The sequence below is a fragment of the Homo sapiens genome, chromosome 5 (assembly GCF_000001405.40).
Source record: "Homo sapiens chromosome 5, GRCh38.p14 Primary Assembly".
Classification (NCBI taxonomy): Eukaryota; Metazoa; Chordata; class Mammalia; order Primates; family Hominidae; genus Homo; species Homo sapiens.
Genome location: NC_000005.10, coordinates 134435248 through 134454551, shown reverse-complemented (window position 1 = coordinate 134454551; position 19304 = coordinate 134435248). Strand labels below are relative to the sequence as shown.

At 49.0% G+C, this 19304-nt stretch overlaps 6 annotated features.

The window, feature by feature from the left end:
• Window positions 2682-2867: a silencer, noted in NCBI's record as "fragment chr5:133787376-133787561 (GRCh37/hg19 assembly coordinates)". NCBI's record gives its function as "represses an EF-1alpha promoter that drives an FKBP-Casp9 reporter gene in an ReSE screen in K562 erythroleukemia cells {active_cell/tissue: K562}" and the evidence as "EXISTENCE:reporter gene assay evidence [ECO:0000049][PMID:32094911]".
• Window positions 15083-15596: an enhancer, noted in NCBI's record as "H3K27ac-H3K4me1 hESC enhancer chr5:133774647-133775160 (GRCh37/hg19 assembly coordinates)". NCBI's record gives its function as "activates a minimal SCP1, AML or CMV promoter by ChIP-STARR-seq in primed H9 embryonic stem cells {active_cell/tissue: H9 hESC(primed)}" and the evidence as "EXISTENCE:reporter gene assay evidence [ECO:0000049][PMID:30033119]".
• Window positions 15597-16112: an enhancer, noted in NCBI's record as "H3K27ac-H3K4me1 hESC enhancer chr5:133774131-133774646 (GRCh37/hg19 assembly coordinates)". NCBI's record gives its function as "activates a minimal SCP1, AML or CMV promoter by ChIP-STARR-seq in primed H9 embryonic stem cells {active_cell/tissue: H9 hESC(primed)}" and the evidence as "EXISTENCE:reporter gene assay evidence [ECO:0000049][PMID:30033119]".
• Window positions 17135-18334: an enhancer, noted in NCBI's record as "CDK7 strongly-dependent group 2 enhancer chr5:133771909-133773108 (GRCh37/hg19 assembly coordinates)". NCBI's record gives its function as "activates an origin of replication core promoter dependent on BRD2, BRD4, P300/CBP, MED14 and CDK7 cofactors, with strong dependence on CDK7, by STARR-seq in HCT116 cells {active_cell/tissue: HCT116}" and the evidence as "EXISTENCE:reporter gene assay evidence [ECO:0000049][PMID:35650434]".
• Window positions 17358-17427: an enhancer, noted in NCBI's record as "active region_23146". NCBI's record gives its function as "activates an Ori minimal core promoter by ATAC-STARR-seq in GM12878 lymphoblastoid cells {active_cell/tissue: GM12878}" and the evidence as "EXISTENCE:reporter gene assay evidence [ECO:0000049][PMID:35858748]".
• Window positions 17528-17717: an enhancer, noted in NCBI's record as "active region_23145". NCBI's record gives its function as "activates an Ori minimal core promoter by ATAC-STARR-seq in GM12878 lymphoblastoid cells {active_cell/tissue: GM12878}" and the evidence as "EXISTENCE:reporter gene assay evidence [ECO:0000049][PMID:35858748]".

Genomic DNA, 19304 nt, shown 5'->3' with positions numbered 1-19304 from the left:
CTTTTTGTATTTTTAGTAGAGACAGGGTTTTACTGTGTTAGCCAGGATGGTCTCAATCTCCTGACCTCGTGATCCGCCCGCCTCGGCCTCCCAAAGTGCTGGGATTACAGGCGTGAGCCATTGTGCCCAGCCTTGCTTTTTAATAATAGCCACTTTAATGGATGTGAAGTAGTATCTCCTTGCGGATTTGATTTACATTTCTCTAATAATTAGTGATGCTGAGCATCTTTTCCTTCATTCATTGGCCATCCAAGCTGCATGCGGTGGCTCACGCCTCTAACCCTAGCACTTTGGGAGGCCAAGGTGAGAGGATTGCTTGAGGCCAGGAGTTCAAGACCAGCCTGGGTGACATAGCAAGACCCCATCTCTACAAAAAAAAACTTTAGATAAAAATTTTAAAATATTAAAAATATTGGCCATCTGCATATGTTCTTTGGAGAAATGTCTATTCAATTCCTTGCCCATTTTAAAATCCAGTTGTTTGTTTTTTGTTGTTGTGGAGTTGTAGGAATTCTTTACATATTCTGCATATTAATCTCTTATCAGATTTGCTGCTGGGTGCAGTGGCTCACGCCTGTAATCCCAGTGCTTTAGGATGCCAAGGTGTGTGGACCACCTGACGTGAGGAGTTTAAGACCAGCCTGGCCAACATGGTGAAACCCCATCTCTACTAAAAATACAAAAAGTAGCTGGGCGTGGTGGCACGTGCCTGTAGTCCCAGCTACTCAGGAGGCTGAGGCAGGAGAATTGCTTGAACCCAGAAGGCGGAGGTTGCAGTGAGATCACACTACTGCACTCCAGCCTGTGTGACAGAGCGACTCTGTCTCAAAAAAAAAAGATGTGCAAATATTTTCTCCCATTCCATGGTTGCCTTTTTACTCTGCTTGTAGTGTCCTTTGATGCACAAAAGTTTTTCGTTTTGATGAAGCCAAATTTATTTATTTTTCTTTTGCTGCCTGTGCTTTTTGTATCATACCTAAAAAATCATTGCCAAATCCAAAGTCATGAGGCTTTTCTCTTATGTTTTCTTCTAAGGGCTTTATAGTTTGAACTACTCTTATGTTTAGTTCTTTGATCCATTTTGAGCTAATTTTTGTAGGTAGTATAAGGTAGGGTTCAATTGCATAATTTTGCATATGGGTGACTCGTTTAACCGACACTGTTTGTTGAAAAGATTGTCCTTTCCTACCCCATTAAATGATCTTGACATCCTGTTGGAAATCATTTGGTCATGTATGTAAGGGTTTATTTCTGAGTTCTCTATTCCATTCTGTTGGTCTACATTTCTGTCTTTATGCCAGTGGCAATTGTTTTGATTATTGTAACTTTACAGCAAGTTTTGAAATCAGGAAATGTGGGATCTCCATCCAGCTTTGTTCTTTTTCAAGCTTGTTTTGACTACTTGAGGTCTCTTGAGATATGATATGAATTTAGGATGGATTTTTCTATTTCTGAAAAAATATGTTGTTGGGATTTTGATAGTGATTCAATAGTGATAGTATTGCCCCATGTGACTTTAAGGAGGGCCTGTACTGGCAAAGGTGTTCCAGGGTGACCAGGGACCAGTGGTGCAATGATAACGAATGGTGGTCTGAGCAGAAGGGAAAGGCACTGACTTGGCACATCCAAGGGTGTGGGCAAGGGGCTACTCTTTTTTTTTTTTTTTTTTTTGAGATGGAGTCTTTCTCTGTTGCCCAGGCTGGAGTGCAATAGCACGATCTCGGCTCACTGCAACCTCCACCTCCCAAGGTCAAGCGATTCTCCTGCCTCAGCCTCCCAAGTAGCTGGGACAACAGGCTCCCACCACCATGTCCGGCTAATTTTTGTATTTTTAGTAGAGATGGGGTTGTACCATGTTGGTCAGGCTGGTCTGGAACTCCTGACCTCATGATCTGCCTGCCTTGGCCTCCCAAAGTGCTGGGATTACAGGCGTGAGACACTGTGCCTGGCTGAGCTACCCTTCTTTAGAAGGCTGAAAGCTTTGCCTCTTCCCAGTCTTCCCCCAGAAGAGGGGGTCCCCAGGGGCAGGAGTTTACCCATCTGTATAATTGACATTGTATCCTTAAGCCACTAAAAAGGTTTCTCCTTTCTCTCATTCAGATTTTTCAGCTTTTTCATGCCCCTTGTTGATTTGTTAGGACAATAGCTCCGTATGTGGCTCTTAGGAACATTGGCACTATTTTTGATGTGGCTGGGCACTCTGTCTCACCCTAGTCCCTAGACAGATTGTCCCTCTAGTCAGCCAGCTGTCCTTTGCAGGAGGAGCATGTTTCTCAAGACTAAAGGAAATAGGAATGGGCAGTTCTGAGCCCCCAGGGAGGGGTGACTGGGCAGAGTCATTTGGTGAAGACTATAGAGAGGATCTCCTGGTCTCAATGCATCTTACCAGCAGAACTAGGCCTCAGTAGGTGAGCTCTGCCTGCAGCAGCAAAAGCAAAGGTGGCCATAGGCAGCCTTCTTGTGCAGCCTAGACTCTTGGAAGATGACTCACTGGGCCCTAAGCCAGACTTCTGGCTCTGCCTCAGAAAAATCCTTCACTATGCCTATCACTGGAGACAGATAGATGAGCAGAGCTCTCTGGGCCCCTCAAGGGGCAAAATTCCTGGTTCTTCACTGTGATACTCACCCATCCTCCCTGGCTGGCCACAGGGAAATAGAAGGGTCTTTATTTCCCTGACTGAAGGGGGCACAGCCAAGGCTTCTGGAAACTCATTCTCCCCTGGAGAGCGTTGTCTAATTCCAGCTCTGATAGTGGGGCCTGGGGTTTCCGACACTGCCTGAATTTCATGCCAAAGTTCACATCTATGTGATCAGTGTCAGAAAGTAAGGTCCTTGTGCCAAGCAAGAGTCTTTATCCAAGTTGTTGGGTTTTTTTTTGGTTTGTTTGTTTGTTTTTTGAGACAGGGTCTCACTCTGTCACCCAGGTGGGGAGTACAGTGGCACAATCATAGCTCACTGCAGCCTTCAACTCCTGGGTTCAAGCCAACCTCCCACCTCAGCCTTCAGTGTAGCTGTGACTACAGGCATGCACCACCAAACTTGGCTAAACTTCATGGCCTTAGACAGCACCCCAGGCCCTCCTGGACCATCCACAGCATTGCTGTGTGCACTCCTTGGTGCAGCAGGTGACTCAGGAGGGGCTAAAGTGCAAACCAGAGAGTGCAGAATATCTGAATTGAGCAAATAACATAGAGGGTGTGTCTGACTTTGTTGAAGCCCCTTCAGGGCCCTGTGGCTGGTGGGAGCCTCTGGCATGTTAAAACAGGGTCACCTGAGCCCAGGAATTCGAGACCAGCCTGGGCAACATAGCAAGACTCCATCACTATTTAACCAAAAAGAAACTAAAAAAAGACCAGAGGCCAAAGATTGAGTGCTGAGTAAAAAAAGTTTTACTGCCAAACAGGGAAACTATTCTATCCAGAGTCTAGGCTCAGAGGTTGGGGATACAGGGGGAAGATATGGGGTTGGTCGTGAGCTATTTCTGTTCTGTATTCAAAAAGCAAGGTTTCTGCAGGTTGCTGATTGACTGTGGATATGGGGCTGTGAGTCAGGTGATCACTGGGTTGTCTGGAGGTGGTCAGCTATGTACCTGGGCCATTGTGCCAGGATTAAGGTATCAAGCAGCCTCCTGGCCAAATCAAGATTTGGGTGCCAAGTCAGGTTTTTACTGATGTCAGCAGGTTAGATGGCAGGTCAGGGCTTCTCACTTGCTACTGGCCTTCAATTTTTCACCTGTGAAACAACGTGGGGACCCCCAGCTCCCCACTCTGTGAGCCCAAACCAGTTAGCAACTGTTTGCTAAATTCAACTGTGGGCCTGGGATTTATATCCCCAACAACAAAGCCAGGGTTGCCTTCCTCTCCCTCACCTCCCCCCATGCTGTGTTGAATTCCACTTCTTCTCTATATTCCACTATGTCTACCCTAGTCCAGGCCACCATACTGCTCACCCAAAGACATTCACTTCCTCTAAACTTATCACCTCCAGCTCGTGGTCTATGTGGCAATCTCAGTCTGTCTAAAATGTCACCCCCCTGCTTAACCCTTCCTTGACTCTGCTTGGCCATGGGGACAAAGCCCTGGCCTTCTGGGCTGACAGAGAAGGGTTTGCACATGCAGGCAGTTGACTTCTCCAACCACTGCCCACTACATCCCCCTTACACACTAGGTTCGGCCACAGTGAAGTTTCAGTTTCTCCAAAGTAATGTTTCCTCTCACCTTCAGACCTTTGCCGATGGTGTTCCCTCTGCAAGGAATGCTTTACCTGGCCACTTCTTACTTATCTTTATTTTATTTTATTTTATTTTTAGATGGAGTCTCACTCTGTTGCCCAGGCTGGAGTGCAATGGCGCGATCTCAGCTCACCGCAACCTCTGCTTCCTGGGTTCAAGCGATTCTCCTGCCTCAGCCTCCCCAGTAGCTGGGATAACAGGCATGCGCCACCACGCCCAGCTAATTTTTATATTTTTAGTGGAGACGGGGTTTCACCATGTTGGCCAGGTTGGTCTCAAACTCCTGACCTCAGGTGATCCTCCTGCCTCGGCCTCCCAAAGTGCTGGGATTACAGGCGTGAGCCACTGCACCCGGCTTTTGCTTATCTTTCAAGTGTAAGTTTAGATACTGACATCTTGGGAGAGCCTTCCATCACATCTCCAAGTTGGGGTTAGGTCTTCCCAACTTGGAGCACTCCAGTCTCTTCTCTTGCCTCAATAAATATTTGACTTGGAGTGTGGAGGAGGGATGTAGTCCCTCAGGTTATCTGGGGAAGGCATGTGTCCCCTGCCCCTCACACTCCCTAGTAACATGGGCTGGAGTCCCTCATGAAGGAGATGCCTGCACAGCCCTGTTCTTCACTTAGATCCTATTCTAAGGAGGGCAGGGTCATTTATTTCTGAAGGTGGACTCTTCTCTGGGCCACACTGTAAAGAGAATCACTGCTTTGCCAGCAGGGCACACAGGGGTCTCTGTTGTTTGGTGGTAGGGGTACTCCAGGATGACCAGCCAGAACATAGGGGCCCACAGGGCACAGGCAGGGGCCCGCAGGGCACAGGCAAGGGCCCAGGCTGGAGAAGAAAAGGCCTAGGTTCTAGCTCTGACTCTCTCCATCTGACTGAGTGACCACCCCATTAAGACTGCCAGACTTCAGCTCCACCTGGGCTTGCAGTGACAGGTTGTGCTAGGCCAAGGGAATTCTTTAGAGACCTGGTTGCCTTTTGAACTTGAGTTTCTGGCTCTTGGGAGAACAGAATGACTATTCCCACACAACTAGGAATGTCTCCCTGGGGCTCTGTTCTTTGAACTGACTTGTAAAAGAAATTAAGGGGTCCCACAGACCAACCTTGAGGATTTTCTTTCTGAGTCAACCCAGGTCACCGCTCTCCAAAACCTTCACCAAGTCTGCTCACCCCTCACCGCTACTCTGCTACTGCTAGCTTAAGTAGTTACGGAAGGTCCCCAAGGGCCCCTCCCATGCTGGTAAAACAAGGGTCTGTGTGTAGGTTTAGCTGTTAACTGGAGTGAGTTCTAGGGAATGGAGAGTTGGGATGACACACACTCATTTTACTGTGTATGCTTCTGTAATGTGGGAATGTTTTTACAAGCATGTATCACTCCTATAATTAAAGATGCAAATCTAGTAAAAAGCTCCATCCCTTAGGCCATAGGTTCAGGGGGCAGAGAATGTCAAGGAAGACTTGATAGGTGAGACAGTGTTAAAGCGGGGCCTGATCAGGTGGGCCAAGCATCACAGCAAATGCCCCCATAAGGGGGCTTTGGGACCAGGTAAAGGCAAGATCCAGGACCTGAAGATGGGAGAGCTTTGCAGGGAGACTATAAAAAGGATGGGCACATACATGGCTGGGGGATGATGATCTGAAGGACTGGTGAGTGGTGAATTGGTACCGTAGTGGGTGAAGCCTTAAATGACAGACTGAGGAGTTTGTAATTAAAGTGTATCTGAGTCAGAGGGATGTGACCTGAGCTAGGCCTTCGGACTGGAACTGACAGAGGTAAGAGAGAGACCAAGGCTGCCAGGAGGTTATTTGCACATCCCAGTGAGAAGAGCAACAACCAGGAGACAGAGATTCCTGGGTGAAAGAGATGGGCTGTCCAGGGACTAGATACTAAGGGCAGGCCCCATTCTCCATCTGCGCCGTAAATTCTCCTGTAGCCTTTCTGGGCACTGGCAGCTCCATGCCTGAGGTTCCTGGGCCACCTGTAGCTGGAGACAGGGTGCCATCCCAGCATGGCTCTGGCTTGGGCCCACCTGCCCACCATGACCCAGAGAGAGTGGGGCCTGCTGGACCACTCAGGGCCTGCGATTCCTTCTGCCTTCATAAAACAGCTCTGGAGCTGATGTTTGTTTTAGATTTGCGTGGTGATTTATTTGCATTTCACATTTTCCTGGGGCCTGGAGGAAAGGCAAGTTTGCACACCACAAAAACTGTGACTGGGGTCATACATGATGTGCCAGCATGAGCCACATCACTCTTCTCATGCTATAAGGCCTGTTGCAAGAGGCAAGGTGGGTGCTTTGGTGGCGCTGGGGGTTCCCCTGGGTTCTGGAGAAGCTCTGAGACCTCAGGGGACTGTATCTAACAGTGGAGAGAGTTGCAGAGTGCCCCACCCAGTGTGCCTCCCAGCCCTGCCTCCTGCCCCATCCGAGGCTTCTGGGGACAATCAGGCCTAACGGTCCATCCAGAATCACTTGGAAACCTACATGGAAAAGGAATGAGGGGCTTGGGCAGATTCTCCTAGACCAAAGAAATTTCACTCTCTTTTTTTTTGGAGACACGGTCTTGCTCTTTCACCCAGGCTGGAGTGCAGTGGTGCAGTCATGGCTAACTGCAACCTTGAATTCCTGGGCTTGAGTGATTCTCCAGCCTCAACCTCCTGAGTAGTTAGGACTATAGGTGTACACCAGCTATTTCTTTTTTCTTTTTCATTTTTTGTAGAGACAGGGTCTCGTTATGTTGCCCACACTGATTTTGAACTCCTGGCCTCAAGCAATCCTCCTAGCTCAGCCTACCAAAGGGCTGCGATTACAGGCATGAGCCACCTCACCTGGCCCCTCTTCTTTCTTAATTTATGATAACTTCACCATCATGGTCAGGTACCAAAGACCCAAATATAAAAGGAAATGCAACAAATCTTGCAGAGGGAGCATCTTCTCCACTCCCCTGACTCTTCTGAGTTAGCGGAGAGAGATCAAGGCTACACTCCACCCTGAAGGAGCCCAGAAATTTCAGAGCACAGTCAACACATCAGGTGAGATTCCCTTATTTCTACCCCAGGTGGTTGCCCAGCTCAGGACTCTGAGCCTGCCCTTCCCTCTCCCTGATTTGCCCCTCCTCCTCCTGTTCTTTCTTGCAGGTGTCACCTCCTCTGTGAAGCTTTCCTTTACTACTCTGCCAGCAAACTCCCCTCCCACATTCTTTCTGGACCTTGTCCTTAACCCATCACTGCATATTGCACCCTCTGCTGCTTTGCTTTATTTATGTGTCCGGGGTGATGTCATAGGAGCCCTCCCCTCTGTGTCCCCAGGGTATAGCCCAGTGTCTTCCCCATTGAGCTCAATACACACTGCTGCAACAGAGCCACGAAACAGTCTCAGGCTGCCTGAGCCAATTCCATGCCCTTTGGGCTGATTTTTCCCTCCTCACTACTCCCTGCATCCTTCTCTGCCCAAGGTGGGGCCTGACCTCAACCATGCCTGGAGGTGTCTCTCATGAAAGGGCCTTCAAACTAGGGTCTGCAGAGGTCCTCCAAGGCCTTGTTGGTAAACTTGAGATTCAGGCCAAGGCACAATGGGAAGGCTGGGAATTCTGGTGATCCCCTTACTGCACTGGAAATTGACTCTTGTACAGCAAGAATGCAGTGATGACTGATGACCATGTGCAATAAGGAGCATGGCTTGTGGCCTGAGTGAGTGAACACGCTAGCTGCCCAGGGTGTCCTGACAGCCCCATCTGGAGATGGCCAAGTAGGGATGCAGGACACAGGACTTCATCCAACTTGGGCCAACACCCCCAACCATGGGCAGAGAGTAGGACCAGCCAGGCAGGTGGGAGGTCCCCAGCCACCCTCCATGCCGCAAGTACCACTGAGTCCTTAGTCCACACACAGCCCAAGATAAGGTTCCACTGTCCAGGCAGAATGTGGCAGAAAGGAGAAAGCAAACTCCTGCCAGAAGGAACTTGGCAGTACCTGCTGTCCTTTCGGATGCCCTAGCCCCAGGCTTCTTGCTCCAGACTTCGCATTCCTCTAGGATCACAGTACCCCGTCACTGGCCAGTTGACCAAGCCAGAGCCTTGTCTTCCTTCTGCCAGGGCAGATTTTCTTCCTGTGGACTTTTCTCACCTTAGAGTTCTCTGGCTGACTGATGGCTCATCTTCTACTCAGCTAGGCCTCTGCCGCCCAATACCACCCTCCTTACCCCCATCCCCAGCTTGAGTCAGCACTCAGCTGGCTGCTCAAGATTTGGCTCTGCTCTCTGAGAGGTCTCTGGGCAAATCCTCAGCTCAGCGCTAAATACTTCTGCATTCAGTCTCTTTGGTTCATTGATCAGGAATCATATGATCTTTTAAAAACACAGCTGGTGGAGGCGCCCATCTGTGTTTCTGCATTTGGATCAGTAAATCAGGCTGCCTGGAATTTACTTAAACCTGCAGGTCTAGGGATAGAATGAGGCTGCCCTCACTATGCCTCCTGTGATGATCTTTCATCTTCTGGAGCTTCTTAATTTTTAAGAGCACCCTTGGCTGGGCTTCTAGGACTGGGTCTGTTGTTTACACTTATTTGTCTCCTAAGCTTCTCTAAGGACTATTTTCTTTTTAAAGTGAGATTCACTAATTACGGGGTGAAGCACAGTTTGCACTCCTCCCCATCCCCATCACACACACACACGCACACGCACACACACATGTATTTCCCAGACAAAATGGGTTGTAAGTCATTTGCCAGGTCAGTAACCCAAGGTAGTAATGTTCTCTGTGCTTCCTCCCTCAGACCTCATCCTGTGTGATACACACGGGAACACTGCTGATGTGGCAGAGATGGCCAGTTATCCCCAATATCTGGTCTAGCTGAACACATGGCCACCCAAAATAAATACTAAATTTCCTAGCCCCCTTTGCAGTTATCAATATATGACTAAGTTCTGACCAGTGAGACTAAAATAGAATGGTACATCCAACTTCAGGAAATCACACGCTGCTTCCTTTCCTCCTTCTTCCCACTAGCTGCAATGCACTGTCTGTGATGTGATTGCCGGAGTTCGAGCAGCCATCTTGGGACATGAGGATGAAGCCACATGCTTTGAGGATGGCAGATGTGGTAGCTAGCTTCTGAGATGGCCCCCAGTGATTCATGTCCTTATTCAGTTCTCTCCTGTATGCAATAGGGCTGATCCATGTAACCAACAGGGTATTGCAGAAATGATAGTAAGTGACTTCTGAGATGACATCATAAAAGACATTGCAGTGTATGCCTTGCCCTCACTGTATCACTCGTTCTAGGCTAGCAGAAGCCCACTCAAGCAACCCAATGAAGGATTAGGGGCAGTGAGAGACCGAGGCTTGCTGCAAATAGCCAGGGTTAACTTGCCAGCAATGTGGTGGTCCAGTCACCCCTTCAGATGACCACAGCTTCATCTGACATCCCAACTGCAACCTCATGAGACAGCTTGAGCCAGAACCACCCAGCTAAGTCTCAAATCCTGACCACGGAAAGTGCGAGATAATAGATGTTTACAGTTGTTTTAAGCCACTGCATTTTGAAGTAATTTGTTACTCAACAATAGAGGAGAACAATAAAACAGAAGGAACTTTGGCCTTCTGAAACAGTGGAGGGCCTAGCAACCCTTGACACCTACCTCCAACCTCATCTGGTTTTTTTTTTTTTTTTTTTTTGAAATAAACTCCTCTTGTTTTCATAACTATTATTTTGGGTTTTCTGACACTCCTATTCCTATTCCTGGTTTGGCACCATTCATTCAGAAATTCTTCTAAGAGTCGCCAGCTGGAAGTGCCTTTTGGAGGCTGTCTCAGTTGTCCCTGCTGCCAATGGCAAGTTGATGCCCAAATCTTCCTAAGATGATGGGCAGTTTATGTCAGAAATGTCTGCAAAAGGCATTTTATAATGAGAACCACAGCCCAAGGATCAGGAGACCCTGACTCCACCCTCTCCTGTGCAGTCTCTCTTATCACTTAGGTGACCTTACCTGGTACAGGGAGAGGCCACTCTCTTATGGGTCTCCCTGGGATGTCCATGAGGCCCAGACAGATTTGTGAATAAGATGCTTTGGGCAGTGCCATGACACTTTACCAGCTGACAGCAGTGCTCTGCTGTGGGTCTGGCTGTTTCTGGATAGTGTTGGCCTACATCAGCATTTGCAGGTGACACTTCAGGAACCAGCCTTCAGGTAAGCATCTCAGGTGGTCTCCTGAGCGATCCGTACACCGCCCTGCTCAGATCCACTCAGTCATGGCAGCTGACAGACTGAGTGATGGCAATCCTGCTAGCCCATGCCTTTCACTACAGCAGTCCTTCCCAGGTCCCTGATTGCAGAACAATGGCCAGCCCCTCTGAGGCTTCCTCTCCACCTCACATTCTGCTTCATCACAGACTCTGACATCCCTGTGAACTAACCAGCCAACACAATTCTTGACCTCACTCATCACAATTCCCAGACCTGCTTAATGTTCCCCAACTTCTCGCATTTGGCTCTTGCCACAGTGGGATAGCTTCTGTCTGAAATCTTAGTTTCTTGCATTCTGCCAGAGGCCCTGACATCTGCTTTCTAGATTTTTCCAGTCCTCTCACCACTTCTGCTCTTCAGCCTTAACAAAGACCTTCTGACCCTAGAGGCCTCGAGTGTTTCCCCAGCCCAGACCCCTCTGAACCATCTGAACAACCATGCATTTTCTTAAACCCTGCATTAGCTAGGGTAATGCTCAATGCTGTAACAAGCAATCCCAAAATGTATATTGGCTCCTACAATGTAGTTGATTTCTTGCTAACAGAAAACTAAATGTGTGTTCCTGATCAGTGGTGTTTGTCCTCCAAGTGATGATTCAAGAATCCAGGATCTTCCCACACTGTGGCTTCACCATCTCCAACATGTGGTTTCCAAGGCTGTCTTAGTCAATTCAGGCTGCTATAACAAAGTATCATCGACTGGGTGGCTCATGAACAATAGAAATGTATTTTTCATAGTTCTGGGTGCTAGAAGTCTGAGATCAGGATACCAAGACACTCAAGCTGTGGTGAGGGCCCTCTTCTGGGCTGCAGACTGCTGACTTCTCCTTGCATTCTCACATGGTAGAAAAAGAACAAGCTGTCAGCCAGGCGTGGTGGCTCACACTTGTAATCCCAGCACTTTGAGAGGCCGAAGCGGGCAAATCACAAGGTCAAGAGACGAAGACCATCCTGGCCAACATGGTGAAACCCCATCTCTACTAAAAATACAAAAATTAGCTGGGCGTGGTGGTGTGCACCTGTAGTCCCAGGTACTCGAGAGGCTGAGGCAGGAGAATCGCTTGAACCCAGGAGGCGGAGGTTGCAGTGAGCTGAGATTGCATCACTGCACTCCAGCCTGGCAACAGAGTGAGACTCTGCTTCCAAAAAAAAAAAAAAAAGAAAAAGAACAAGGTAGTTCTCTGGCTCCCTCTTTCTTTCTTTCTTTCTTTCTCTTTCTTTCTTTCTTTCTTTCTTTCTTTCTTTCTTTCTTTCTTTTTCTTTCCTCCTTTTTTTTTTTTTTGAGACAGGGTCTCACTCACTTGCCCAGGCTGGAGTGCAGTAGTGCAATCTCCGCTCACTGCAACCTCTGACTCCTGGGTTCAAGCAATCCTCCTGCCTCAGCCTCCTGAGTAGCTGGGACTGCAGGCATGCGCCACCACACCCGGGTAATTTTTGTATTTTTAGTAGAGATGGGGTTTCACCGTGTTAGCCAGGCTGATCTTAAACTCCTGACCTCAAGTGACCCAGCCACCTCAGCCTCTCAAAGTGCTGGGATTACAGGCTTGAGCCACCATGCCTGGCCGCTGGCCTCTTATTATACAGGCACTAATCCCATCCTAAGGGCGCCACCCTTAAGACCTAATCACCTCCCAAAGGCTCCACCTCCAAATCATCACACTGGGGATTCCGTTTCAACATAGGAATTTTTGGGGGGACACAAACATTCAGTCTGTAACAAAGGGGCATCGAACTGGGAGAAGGGGAAAGGAAGAGTGGAGAAGTCACGTCTTCTTCTTAACTCTCTTGGGCTGGAAGTGACATGTCATCCTCAATCAACATTCCTTTGGCAAGAACTAGTCTCCTGACTCCTCTTAGATGTCATAGCTGTGCCTGGGTCAGCTTCTCTCCTGTTTCCCATAATAAATGTTCTAAACTCCCCCTTCCTGCCCCCAGCCCCTCCCCTCACCCTTACTCTCAGCAAGTGAGAATTTTAGGGTCAAGAGGCATTACGTTCCTGCACTTTCCCCCTCTTCCCTGCTCCCCAGTCACATTCATGTAAACTTGTTCATGGCACATTCACTCCAGCCTCCTCTCTCCAGCCTTGCAGGCCAAACCCTCCCTCCATTTCAGACCTGTGTATCCACCTGCCTGCCAGATGCTTCCTCCTAGATGCCTATAGCTCTTTCACACTCACCAAGTCTTAAACTGAGCTCGTCATCTCCCAGCCCACCCGCTAGTTATGGTTTCTTTCTCCTATGATGGTGACACTCTAACCACATGGTGGTCCTGACTGAAAACCTAAGGGTTCTCTTTGTCTTGTTTTTCAGGTGAAATTCTGGCCCAACATTTCTTGAGTCGGTTCCTTCCACCCCTTTCCTCTGTTCAGGTGATCGCTTCTGGCTTGGATGCCTGTGGCTGCCTCCTGAGGGGTCTTTATGCCTCCTGTCCATTATCCCTCCCACCTGTTCTCCACCAGCAGCCAGAGTGATTGTTCCAAAGTACAGATCTGACCACAGCACTCACTTTCTTAAACCCCATACTCTTCAAGTGAAGCACCGACTTCCCTCTGAGGCCCCCAGGACCCCAAGTAATTGGCCACATTGCCCCCTTCAACTAACCCCTCCCCTGACTCTCAAGAAACACCAGACTTTTGGCCAGGCCTGGTGGCTCATACCTGTAATCCCAGCACTTTGGGAGGCCAAGGTGGGTGGATCACCTGAGGTCAGGAGTTGGAGACCAGCCTGGCCAACATGGTGAAACCCCATCTTTACTAAAAATACAAAAAAAAAAATTAGCCGGGAGTAGTGGCGGGCCCCTGTAATCCCAGCTACTTGGGAGGCTGAGGTGGGAGAATTGCTTGAACTCAGGAGGCAGAGGCTGCAGTGAGCAAGATGGTGCCACTGCACTCCAGCCTGAGCAACAGAGTGAGACTCTCTCAAAAAAAAAAGAAAAAAGAAAGAAAGAAAAAGAAAAAGACCTCAGCCCTGCAGGTCATCATACATCTTGTACGTCAGCTATTCTTTCAGATAGGCAATTAGTGGAACAGACACCCACCCAAACTGATTCAGGCATAAAGGGGGACTCTAATGGAACCCAAATGCAGGAAGTCATCCCAGGCACTGCAAGCTCATTGGACAGGTACTCTGTCTTTCTCACTGGACTACAGTTTTTTCTCTTTGTATTCCTAATCTGTTACCCTTTACAGAAAATGCTTGGTTATCTTTTACAAGGCCCATTATGACTACCAGCCCTGGGTGTGCCTGCCTGAGTCTGCCTGCCCGAGTCTGACAATGTCAGTGCCCACCCCTGTAGAAGCAGTGTCCAAGCCTTGGGAGCACTTGTTTGGCTCAGCTTAGGTGATAAGTACGTTCCCCCAGGTTAGGCTTTCAGCCCTGGCCCATCACCATAACATGGGAGGAAGGGTGGGGTCAGCTGGTTCAAACAGGGCAGTAGGAACGTGCAGAGGGGAATTTCTAGGAGGGAGGTAGGTAGGGAACCAATTACAAGTGTAAGAAGAAACTGTGAATGATGTTGAAACTTGGGGGGTGTCCTGAATAACTTATTCATCCAGGTTATCTCTGGCTTTTGTTGTCTTTGACTAGACTATTTCTCAACCCTCTCAAGATAGAAATTAAATTGTAGAAACGTCATACCAATGCAAATAATTCCTGTTCACAGAAATGCAAATTGTGTCTGAATTGCAACTGACTACTGCCTCATGGATATTGACCAGTTTTGCATCCATTTCTAAAATCAACTTTCTTCATCTGACTATTATTTGTGATACTTTGAGTTCTCCTTTGAATTGGTTGTAATATTTTATTGGCTCACTCATGAATTAAATCTTTTTTTCCTTTTCCTTTTTTTTTTTTTTTTTTTTTGAGACAGGGTCTCACTTTGTCACCCAGTCTGGAGTGCATTCATGTTATAATTATTTGTTAAGCTGTATGTATAGTTGTTTGGACTTTTCTTTTCTTTCTTTTTTTTCTTTTTTTTTTTTTTTGAGATAGAGTCTTGCTCTATCACCCAGGCTGGAGTGCAGTGCAGTGGCACAGTCTTGGCTCACTGCAACCTTAGCCTCCCAGGTTCAAGCAATTCTCCTGCCTCAGCCTCCTGAGTAGCTGGGACTACAGGCAAAGCACACCACCACGCCCAGCTAATTTTTGTATTTTTAGTAGAGATGGGGCTTCACCATGTTTGCCAGGCTGGTCTAAAACTCCTGACCTCAGGTGATCCACTCCCTCGGCCTCCCAAAGTGCTGGGATTACAGGTGTGAGCCACCTCACCCGGTCTGTTTGGACTTTTCTGATTGTATCTCATATTTTATAATTTTTTAAAAACCCATTACATGTTATTAACTTTTGTACATTTTAAAGGAAAAAGCAAACCAAATAGGCAAAACTACATCTTGGCATATTGCCCCAAACCAGCCATGGGCAGCCAGAAGTGGTTATGACATGCTGCCTACCCTCAGGGAAGAGGCTAAGTTCACGCTCCACCCACAGGCATAGGATTCCAGGCACTCACGACACCCCTCTTGCATCAGAAGCTGCTCAGGTGAGAGGACTTCCTCACTGTTCAACACCTGCCCCCTGGCAGCCCAACTCAGGGAACACTTGACAGAAGATTCTGCCAGACTGGGAACATCCGCTCTACAAGCCACTCCTCCTCTGGCAACTGGAGAGGCATTCAGCCCTTGATGGCTTGCAGCTGAAAGGGGAGAGTCACTGCCAAACCATTTCTTGCACAACAATGCACTTCTGAGGAGGGTACACAAATTTTTGTCAACTGAATCGTGTCTTCCTCCGGACTTACATGATGGTCCAGATATGCTCTGGCTTCCGTGCTCATGGGTGGGTCCTCCACTGGTAACGGCTCCCAACACTTAGTATTCTTCTGTCTCCATTAACCAACCTCTAAATCAGTATTTAAGTACATAAGGATAGAACCTTTCTTCTAGGAATTCCTCCATCAGGCAAGCTTGGATGTTTGCCTCTGCTGTTTCCTTAGTGGGGAGGGAGGCCACATCCACAGGCAGCGGGGTCATCTCTCAGTCCCAGGAGCCTCCCTGACCTTTGACCTGAGTGGTGCAGTCATCTACATTTAGCACATCTGCACACAGGTGCTTCAATAATAAACTCCTGGCCAAGAAGGATGGAAGAAGAGGGAAGACATAAGCCTGGTGCTTTGCCTTGCTGACTGCGCACTCCCAGCTGTCCTGGCTGGGACCGGCCCTTCATATGCTTACCCTACGAGCAGAGTCTCAGCACCTTCTGAGTGTGGGACTCATGCTCCAGAGGAGTAAACACCTTCTCAAACAGCAAGCCGCTGCTTGCCAACTGCCGTGGGGAGGGGGAGCCTTGCCCTTAGTGCGACCCTTCGAGGATGCTTGAGCCCAGAACCCCCACATCCTCTAATCACATCACTTTCCCTATGTCCAGGATCAAGTCCAAGCTGCATGGCCTGGTCTTCGAGTCCCTTGCTTCTCAGTCTGGTCCTAGCTATGTCTCTGGCATCATCTCCCTTACACCATGTACCCCATGGTCTAACCACTCATTTACCCCACACACGATGGATTCTGACTTGTGCATAAGCCTGGTGGCTGTTTTCCAAGTCCGCATAGCTGCCAACAATGCCTCATTTCAATGGCAGCCTCTCTGTTATTCATTGATGTCATCAGAATTGCATTACTGTAGATGCAGACACAGGCAACACCAGTGCCCATTCTAATATAGGGCCTCACCCTGCTGCTCACACCACTCCTGGGACTGCACCTGGGTGCACTTCACACAGACCACTTTCCAGAATGGTTCTCTCCACAGGAGCAGCTGCAGATCCCTCCTATCTTCCAAAAGCTCACTGCCTTGGAGATAGGACACATCATAGTATCTCTCTGCCAAAGTGACAACTACAATTATATTTTGGCCGACAGCTGGAGATGGAGAATGTACAGATAGCCAAGGCCTCATGAGTCTCCATGAATCAGCAGTTTGTGCTGCAAGTGCAGCCCATAGGTGAGGTGGGCCTATCCGGCCAGTCATCCAGGCCCTCCCTGCTGCCTATCCGGCCAGTCATCCAGGCTGCCTGCTGGCCACAGACCTCATGTTAGCACCTGGGACCCTCGGTGAAACCCTCCACTGGATGGTGACAGTTAATACCCCCAAGACCACCCCAGGACATAGAGGAGCAGAAGCATCAGGGTAGTCAACCCGGGCAAAGCCCAGCCCCAAGGGAAAGGCACTTGGTTCCTAGGCAAAGGCAGGGGCCGGTCAAGCATGGGGCTGAGATGCCCCCGGGGTGAAGTCCACTATGCTTGGCAGCCTGATATGGGGTTTGTTTGTGATGGGCAGAGGGTCTCTATTGAAGCCTCAGGGCACCACCTCCACAAGGAACCTCAGTGCCATAGACTGTGTGCAAAGGAGTGCTATCAGTACAGGGACCAAAACCCAGGAGTGAAAACAACTTCAACAGCAAAAGCAGCAGCAGCAGTGTCCAGTATCAAGTCTGTCCATGTGCTGGATGCTGGGCTGACCACTACTCAAATGTCACCCTTCACCGCAACCCAGTGAGGTAGGTTCTGTAATTATCCTCATTTTACCAATGAGAAAAACTGAGTCTCAGAGGGCAATTTGACTGAAGCCACGTGGCTGCAAGTGTAGAGAAAGAATCTGAACCCAGACAATCTGGCTTCAGAGCTCAGCTGGCCTCCTTATCCTGGTTTGGCCCTTTAAATCCAGTTTGGTTGTGGGAAACTGAGAGACCTCCAGGGCATTCCTCACATAGGGTGAGTTGAGTTTGGGCCTCCAAGTAGACTTTGGCCTGGAAGCCAAGATGTTACTGAGGAAAATAAACAATAGCTATTTCAGGTGACAGGTGCTGGGCTGTGGAATTGTGCGGGGGGAAATGTCAAGCTGCAAGGGTTTCCTCATTGTAAATTTTTGTATGTTCAGCAGAACAAGCGTCATCAGAAAGCTGCTCTGTTGCCAGCGTCGCCCCTGGAGACAGAGGGCAGGAGCAGGAAGTGTCCTTTCTCTGTGACCGCAGGTCCTCTCGGGGCTTACCTCTTACTCAGCCCTGCCCTGGGTTCCAGCCGAGGCCTCTCGGGGGGTGGGCAGACGTTCTTGGAGTGCTCCCAGGCGTGCTGCTGCCCTTTGCAGGCTCCTTGTCAGGGTAGAACCGGCCTGTCCTCACATCCTGCCCAAACACATGCAGACTAGGATGCAGCAGGCTAGCAGCTCTGCTCAACACGCCTCCAAATGGGTGTGAAAGGCCGGCGGGGCTGGGGACGCAGGAGTGTTCATATTTTCAAGTGGCTGCTGCCCATGAATCACCAACTTCATTTTGTGCTCTCAGCTCTGCGAAGGCATCATTTCCACCCAGACTCACATGGAGCTGGCGGCCAGAGCCTCTTAGTGGGGCTATAAATAGCAGATCATCAACTCACCTCCTCTGAGCTCATCACAGGCTCCTCGGTTTACTGTGCGTCTTCCAGCTGCCTGCACGTCACTGTCACTCAGATTTCCCAGATGAAACCTGGCTGAGAGACTCAGGGCATGCTTTAGGTGGCTGCAGGGTTTTGGTTTCCAGAGCTGTTTAGGGTGACAGTGAGTGCAACAGCAGACTTTTGAAGCACTTGACATTTAAGACGTCATCATTATAATCTCAGGTCTCTGTGCTCCTCTCCAATTAAATGCAGTAGGAAGGGTCTGTCATTTCTCTATGAGTCCTAGAAACCAAAGGCAAAGGACTCACCAAACACACACCCAGAGAAAGCCATACGGAATGGGTAGCAGCAAATGAAAGGCTTCATGCTGGCTGGGCATGGTGGCTCACACCTGTAATCCCAGCACTTTGGGAGGCTGAGGCCGGTGGATCACTTGAGGTCAGGAGTTCAAGACCAGCCTGGCCAACATGGTGAAACCCCATCTCTCTTAAAATACAAAATATTAGCTGGGCGTGGTGGCGTGCATCTGTAAGCTCAGCTACTCGGGAGGCTGAAGCACAACAATCGCTTGAACCTGGGAGGCAGAGGTTGCAGTGAGCCAAAATCATGCCACTGCACTCCAGCCTGGGCAACAGAGCAAAACTCTGTATAAAAAAAAAAAAAGGCTTCATGTCTTCCTGTGGACTTTCTTCCTTGCACTCTGAATGAAATACTTTATGGCTCCCTGGCTTCAGAAGTGAGATTGCATTTTTTAGTATTACCCTTAGAGCTTCCATACAGAGTCTCTCCTTGTGTCAGGCACTGTGTCCAGCCTCTGCATGCAGCATCTCATCGAGTCACCACAAAGCCATATTGAGTTAACTGCTGGCAACATTTTCTTTCTATAGGTGAGGAGGCTGTTGCTCACAGAGGACAGGTGACTCAGCCAGAGCCACAGAGTCAGGATTTCAATCCAGGGCTGCTGGATTACAGAGCCCAGTCTCTGAATCACCAGCCTTTCTGACTCCTGCAGAAGAGGGCTATGTTTGTGTCCATGCATGTGCCTACGTATCTTTGACTGAGAGATGTGAATGACAGTTTCCCTTCCCAGTTCCACATACTCCATGACTGTAAGTAGGAGCCAGGTGCTCACAGATTCACCATCCCCCAAGTCCCAGGCCCCTTTGTCACCTGGAATGTCCCATGTCATCATCTCCCAAATCTGATTTTCTTCTAAGGTTGCCTTGCAGGCCGGGCACCAGTCTCCAGGCAGCTCTCCTGGCCCAGTTTGATGGTCTTCTTCATGTTTTCCTCCCTTCAGCCCCTTAAACAGGCAGAGGCCAGGTGGGGCTCGCCTCAGGGTAGCATCCCCATCTATTTCCCCTCTCTCCCTAGACTCCCAGCCCCATATTTGGGGTCTGGTC